At 47.0% G+C, this 7,403-nt stretch overlaps 1 annotated feature.

The window, feature by feature from the left end:
• Positions 3,390 to 3,556: a silencer, noted in NCBI's record as "fragment chr1:155075818-155075984 (GRCh37/hg19 assembly coordinates)". NCBI's record gives its function as "represses an EF-1alpha promoter that drives an FKBP-Casp9 reporter gene in an ReSE screen in HepG2 liver carcinoma cells {active_cell/tissue: HepG2}" and the evidence as "EXISTENCE:reporter gene assay evidence [ECO:0000049][PMID:32094911]".

The following is a 7,403-nucleotide window of genomic DNA, read 5'->3' on the forward strand; positions in this document are numbered from 1 at the left end:
GGGAGGCTGAGGTGGGCTGATCATGAGGTCAGGAGATCGAGACCATCCTGGCTAACACAGTAAAACCCCGCCTATACTAAAAAAAATACGAAAAATTAGCCGGGCATGGTGGCAGGCACCTGTAGTCCCAGCTACTCGGGAGGCTGAGGCAGGAGAATGGCATGAACTTGGGAGGCGGAGCTCACAGTGAGCCAAGATCACACCACTGCACTCCAGCCTGGGCAACAAAGCGAAACTGCGTCTCAAAAAAAAAAAAAAAATTAGCTGGGCATGGTGGTGCATACCTGTAATCCCAGCTACTCGGGAGGCTGAGGCAGGAGAATCGCTTGAACCCAGGAGGCAGAGGTTGCAGTGAGCCGAGATCGTGCCATTGCACTTCAGCCTGGGCAACAAGAGCGAAACTCTATTTCAAAAAAAAAAAAAGTCAAATGGACCAAACAGCTTTGATGAAAAATGACAGAGGCCAGGCGTGGCAGCTCACACTTGTAATCCCAGCACTTTGGGAAGCTGAGGCTTGTGGATCACTTGAGGTCAGGAGTTTGAGACCAGCCTGGCTAACATGGTGAAACCCTGCCTCTGCTAAAAATACAAAAATTAGCTGGGCATGGTGGCACGTGCCTGTAATCCCAGCTACTCAGGAGGCTGAGGCAGGAGAATTGCTTGAACCCAGGAGGTGGAGGTTGCAGCAGTGAGCAGAGATGGTGGCACTGCACTCCAGCCTGGGCGACAGAGCAAGATTCCATCTAAAGAAAAAAAAAAAGAAAGAAAGAAAAATGGCACATCCTGCCACACCCTTCTCCAGCTCCCAATCTCACATCACATAGGCAACCACTCTCCAATCTTCTAGTTTCTTCTGATATTTGTAGTCCCAGTGAGTAGCCGGGACTACAGTTGTGTGCCACTATGCCTGGCTAATTTTGTATTTTTAGTAGAGATATGGTTTCTCCATGTTGGCCAGGCTCATCTCAAACTCTTGACCTCAGGTGATTTGCCCGCTTTGGCCTCCCAAAGTGCTGGGATTACAGGCGTGAGCCACCACACCCGGCCCATATTTCTTTTTATTTTTTTTTATTTTTAGAGACAGGGCCTCACTCTATTGCCCAGGCTGGAGTGCAGTGGCACAATCATAGCTCACTGTACCCTTAAATTCCTGGGCTCAAACAATCCTCCCCCAGCCTCCCAAGTAGTTGAGACTGCAGGTGTGCACCGCCACACCCAGTTTACCTATATATATATATATATATATATATATATATATATATATATTTTTTTTTTTTTTTTTTTTTTTGAGACGGAGTCTCGCTCTGTCACCCAGGTTGGAGTGCAGTGGTGCGATCTCGGCTCACTGCAAGCTCCGCCTCCTGGGTTCACGCCATTCTCCTGCCTCAGCCTCCCCAGTAGGACTACAGTGGGACTACAGGTGCCCGCCACAAGGCCGGCTAATTGTTTGTATTTTTAGTAGAGACAGGGTTTCACCATGGTCTCAATCTCCTGATCTCGTGATCCGCCCGCCTCAGTCTCCCAAAGTGCTGGGATTACAGGCGTGAGCCACAGCGCCCAGCCACGCCCGACTAATTTTTTTGTATTTTTTAGTAGAGACAGGGTTTCACCGTGTTAGCCAGGGTGGTCTCAATCTCCTGACCTCATGATCCGCCCACCTCGGCCTCCCAAAGTGCTGAGATTACAGGTGTGAGCCACCGTGCCCGGCCTTACCTTTATATTTCTAAATAAGATGCTTGCACTGCTGTTTTTCTCTTTTTTCTTTTTCTTTATTCAATGTTAGACCTGCTCTATCGACTTCCTCTCATGAAACATGAGGATTCAGTTCTCTGTGTCCTGCCTCTCAATGCACAGAAACACATACACTGCCCTCCCAATAGAGTCAAATCCAAAATTTTTGGTTAAATCAATATTTAGCATTTAGATGGTTATTAAACTGTGACAATTGTTCACAATTGACTCACATAATATACTATGATTCATTCTAGTTCTTTAAAAACTTTTTCTTTTCCTTGGAATTAATAACTAACTGGAAAGACCAATAACCCAATAGAGAAATGGCCAAAGAGGCCGGGAGCAGTGGCTCACGCCTGTAATCCTACCAATTTGGGAGGCCGAGGTGGGCGGATCACAAGGTCAGGAGTTTGAGACCAGCCTGGCCAATATGATGAAACCCCGTATCTACTAAAAATACAAAAAAGTTCTCCAGGCATGGTGGGGCACGCCTGTAATCCCAGCTATTCGGGAGGCCGAGGCAGGAGAATTGCTTGAACCTGGGAGGCAGAGGTTGCAGTGAGCCGAGATTGCGCCACTGCACTCCAGCCTGGGTAACAGAGTGAGACTGTTTCAAAAAAAAAAGAGAAATGACCAAAGAAAATGAACAGTTTACTGAAAGGAAATGCAAGTGGCTTTTAAATGTTTAAAAGGATGTTCATTCTCACACATAAGAGAAATGAAAATTAAAACCACACCAAGATAGCACTTCTCATTTATCAGCTTGGCAAAAATCCAAAGGTTTACAACACAGTCTGTTGACGTGGCTTTAGGGAACAGGCATTTTCATACATTGCCAGTGGGAGGGCAAAGCTCTATCACTCACATGGAAGGGGATTTGGAGATACCAAGCAAAATGACAAATGCATTTACCCTTTAACCTAGCAATCCTCCTTCTGGGAATTTGTCCGGCAGCTATGTCTATGCACATTTGAAACGAAGTAGGTATATAGTTATTCATTGTGGCATTCACTGACAATAGTAAAGTATTGGAAACAACCCAAGTGTCCTATGGAGGACTGGCTAAATACACTACTGTACATCCACGCAATGGAATAAGCCACTAGACAAAGGAGTAAGGAATTTCTCCAAGAAAGATCTCCGGGATGTATTGTATGTATGTATTTTTTGTTTGTTTTTTGTTTTGTTTTGTTTTTGATACGGAGTCTTGCTCTGTCGTCCAGGCTGGAGTGCAGTGGCACGATCTCGGCTCACTGTGAGCTCCGCCTCCCAAGTTCACGCCATTCTCCTGCCTCAGCCTCCCGAGTAGCTGGGACTACAGGCGCCTGCCACCACGCCAGGCTAATTTTTTGTATTTTTAGTAGAGATGGGGTTTCACCGTGTTAGCCAGGATGGTCTCGATCTCCTGACCTTGTGATCCCCTGCCTCGGCCTCCCAAAGTGCTGGGATTACAGGCGTGAGCCACCGCACCCGGCTTTTTGTTTTTTTCTTGAGATGGAGTCTCGCTCTGTGGCCCAGGCTGGAATGCAGTGGTGCGATCTTGGCTCACTGCAACCTCCACCTCCCGTGTTCAAGCGATTCTCCTTCCTCAGCCTCTAGAGTAGCTGGGACTACAGGCGTGCGCCACCACGCTCGGCTAATTTTTGTATTTTTAGTAGAGGTGGGTTTTCACCATGTTGGCCAGGCTGTTCTCGGAACTCCTGTCTTAAGGCGATCCACTCACCTTAGCCTCCAAAAGTGCTAGGATTACAGGCATGAGCCACCGCGCCCGGCACTAACCTCATTCTTGATTGTTAGATTAGCTGGGGGTAGAATTCTAAGTTGGAAAACATTTTCCCTCAGAAGTTCAAGGTCACTGATTCAGCTATCCCAGTTTCTAGCGCTGCTATTGAGAAATCCAAGTCAAAACAGATTCCCGATCCTGTGTATGAATACTAATCTTTATCACTCATTCTAAATTTTCAGTTCTTAGAAAGTTTCTTGGCCAGGCGCAGTGGCTCACGCCTGTAATGGCAGCACTTTGGGAGGCCAAGGCAGGTGGGTCACCTGAGGTCAGGAGTTCAAGACCAGCCTGGCCAATATGGCAAAACCTCATCTCTACTGAAAATACAAAAATTAGCCAGGTGTGATGGCAGGCGCCTGTAGTCCCAACTACTTGGGAGGCTAAAGCAGGAGAATTGCTTGAACGCAGGAGGCAGAGGTTGCAGTGAGCTGAGATCATGCCACTGCACTCCCGCCTGGGCAACAGAGCAAGACTCCTTATTAAGAAAAGAAAGAGAGAGAGAGAGAGAGGAGAGAGAGAGAGAGAAAGGGAGGGAGGGAGGAGGGAGGAAGGGAGGAAAAGAAAGGAGGAAATGGAGGAAGAAAGCGTTTTGTATTATTTCTTGGATAATTTCCTCCCGTCTCCTCTCTTTTATAGTTGAATGTTCAGTCTCCTGGGCTGATTCTCTAATTTTTCTATTTTTCTCCTTTGTTCCCCAACTCTTTGTCTAATTATTCTGCTTTCTCAGAGATTTCCTCAGACTTGCCATTCCTTTGGTTAATTGTTTTTACTTACCTATATTTAATTTCCGAGTAGTTTAGTTTTTTCGAGACAGGGTCTCACTCTGTGGCCCAGGCTGGAGTGCAGTGGCACAATCTTGGTTCACTGCAACCTCCACCTCCCAGGCTCAAGTTAATTCTCCTCCCTCAGCTTCCTGAGCGGCTGGGATTACAGGCGTGCGCCACCATGCCCAGCTAATTTTTGTATTTTTAGTAGAGAAGGCAGTACACTATGTTGGCCAGGCTGGTCTTGATCTCCAGGCCTCAAGTAATCCACCCATCTCTGCCTCCCAAAGTGCTGGGATTACAGGCATGAGCCACTGAGCCTGGCCTTATTTTATTTTTTAATATAACCTGGTTCTCATTTTATGAATAATCTCTTACCTCTCTAAAAATACTAATTGCCATTTTAAAGGTTTTCTTCTACTCCCTGAATGATTCCTAGTTCCCTTTGATTTCTTTTTCTCTGTGCTTTGGTCTGTTTTTCCCCTTGGTGGCTCTCCATTCACATTTCTGCATGAAGCAGGACAGAGTGCTGTTGGGTGACTGTGTACACCTGGGTTTCGAAGGCACACTCTTCGGAATGTAAGCTCCTCAAGGTGAGGATCTACAGCAGTTTTGTTTACAGATAGAGTCCCAGCACCTAGAATGTTTTCTAGCGCATAGCAGGTGTTCAATAGTAGGTGCAGAAGGGAGTAAGTGTGGAAGGCAAGAATAAAAGGACATCTAGTGGCTTCTCATTTGTTCTAAATGTAGATCTTTGGCCTGGGACCATTCTCTGGAAGTTTTCCAGAAGAGTCCTCTAATCTTATTCCTGGAAGTGTAAACCTGGCTCTCAGGAAACAGTTAGGGGGAAGGGAGCAGCATACAGGCTGCCATTTTTATGTATCTGCTCCTCAAAGCCACTCTGTTTGGTGTTCCTGAGAATCAGCAATGCCCTTCCTGTTTTTTAAGATCCTACTTTGTGCTCAGAACCTTTTTCTGGATATGTTCTCTACAGTATGGAACAAAGTCCCTGCCTTATGAAGCTTATAGTCAGCTGGGGAGAAACAAAATAGAAAAGATTAGATAGATAGATAGATGATAGATAGATAGATAGATAGATAGATAGATAGATAGATAGATAGATAGGATAGGGCCGGGCATGGCGGCTCACACCTGTAATCCCAGCATTTTGGGAGACCAAGGCAGGTGGATCACTTGAGGTCAGGAGTTCAAGACCAGCCTGGTGAATATGGTGAAACCCCCGTCTCTACTAAAAATGCAAACATTAGCCGGGCTTGGTGGCACATGCCTGTAGTCCCAGCTACTCAGGAGGCTGAGGCAGGAGAATCGCTTGAATCTGGGAGGCAGAGGTTGCAGTGAGCCAAGAAAAAAAAAGAGGATAGAGTAAGAGGCGTGTATGTCTGTTTGTCTGCGTGTGTGTGTGTGAGCGCGCTCCATTGTGCATGCTGTAGCCATCAGGAAAGACTCTCACTGGAGGGAACATTTGATTGAGCCAAATTATACATTGGAGGAGAGTTTTGCTTCCTCTGTTTCAAAGTACAAATTCCCTGAGGCTGGAGCATGGCCAGGGAGGTCGAGGAGCATGAAGAAGCCCAGTGTGGCTGGAGAATGGTGTGTAAGGAGGGAAATGGATTGAGAAATGGTGGAGGCGGGCGCCAGGGGATTGGGAGAACACAGTGTGCATCTGAATTTCACTGTAAACATGACTGGGAGCCACTGGAGGGTTTGGCCAGGGGAGCACAGATAAGAGTCACACTTTAAAGGATCTCTTGAGGCCAGGTGTGATGGCTCAACACTTTGTAATTCTGCTAGGAGGACTGCTTGAGGCCAGGAGTTTGAGACCAGTCTGGTAACATAGTGAGAGCTTTTCTCTACAAAAAAAAAAAAAAATTAGCCTGGTGTGGTGGTACGTACCTGTAGTCCTAGCTTCTAGGGAGGCTGAGGTGGGAGCATCACTGGAGCCCAAGAGTTCCAGGTTACAGTGAGCTGTGATTATGCCACTGCACTGTAGCATCAACACAGCAAGACCCTGTCTCTTTAAATTAAATTAAATTAAAGGATCTCTCAACTGTGTGTGAAGAATAGGACTAGGCCAGGCATGCCTGTAATCCCAGCACTTTGGGAGGCCAAGGCAGGGGGATCACTTGAGGTCAGGAGTTTGTGACCAGCCTGGCCAATGTGGTGAAACCCCGTCTCTACTAAAAATACAAAAATTAGGCCGGGTGTGGTGGCTCACACCTGTAATCCCAGCACTTTGGGAGGCCAAGGCGGGTGGATCACCTGAGGTCAGGAGTTCAAGACCACCCTGGCCAACATGGTGAAACCCTGTATCTACTAAAAATACAAAAAAATTAGCTGGGCGTGGTGGTGTGCACCTGTAATTCCAGCTACTTGGGAGGCTGAGGAAGGAGAATTGTATGAACCTGGAAAGCAGAGGTTGCAGTGAGCTGAGATTGTGCCATTGCACTCCAGCCTGGGCAACAAGAGTGAAACTTTGTGTCAAAAAGCAAAACAAAACAAAACAAAACAAAAATTAGGCGGGCATGGTGGCATGCGCCTGTAATCCTAGCTACTCGGGAGGGTGAAGAAGGAGAATTGCTTGAACCTGGGAGGCGGAGGTTGCAGTGAGCCGAGATCACGCCATTGCACTCCAGCCTGGGCAACAGAATGAGACCTTGCCTCTAAAAACAATTTTTTAAAGTAAAAATAAAAAGAAATTAGAATGGGAATAAAAAGAGACAAAAGAAGGCTGAGAGGAAGAGACAGCCAGCCTAACGGGGAGGAAGGCCACGCCCACCCCAGGTGCATCACTAGCTGCACCCAGGCCTGCTTGTCACAGCCACTTCTTTCTCTCCCGGGAACTGAATGGGCTTGACCATCCTGCATTTGTCTAACTTTGAAGCCAAGCAAGGAAGTAACATTAATATGACAAGTGAGGTCTGAACAACAGAAGGAGCTGCATTTCCATTCGGTGGCCATAAACCTATCCTGCCCCCAACCCCAGGAGTGGGGGATCTTCATGCCCAGGTCCTCTGTGTCCAGGTGAAGCACATCCACGGGGATCAGGTATCAGAAAGGGCTGCTTAATTACGCTGAACATCCCCTCCAAAGAGGACTACAGC

Source organism: Homo sapiens, chromosome 1 (assembly GCF_000001405.40).
Source record: "Homo sapiens chromosome 1, GRCh38.p14 Primary Assembly".
Taxonomy (NCBI): domain Eukaryota; kingdom Metazoa; phylum Chordata; class Mammalia; order Primates; family Hominidae; genus Homo; species Homo sapiens.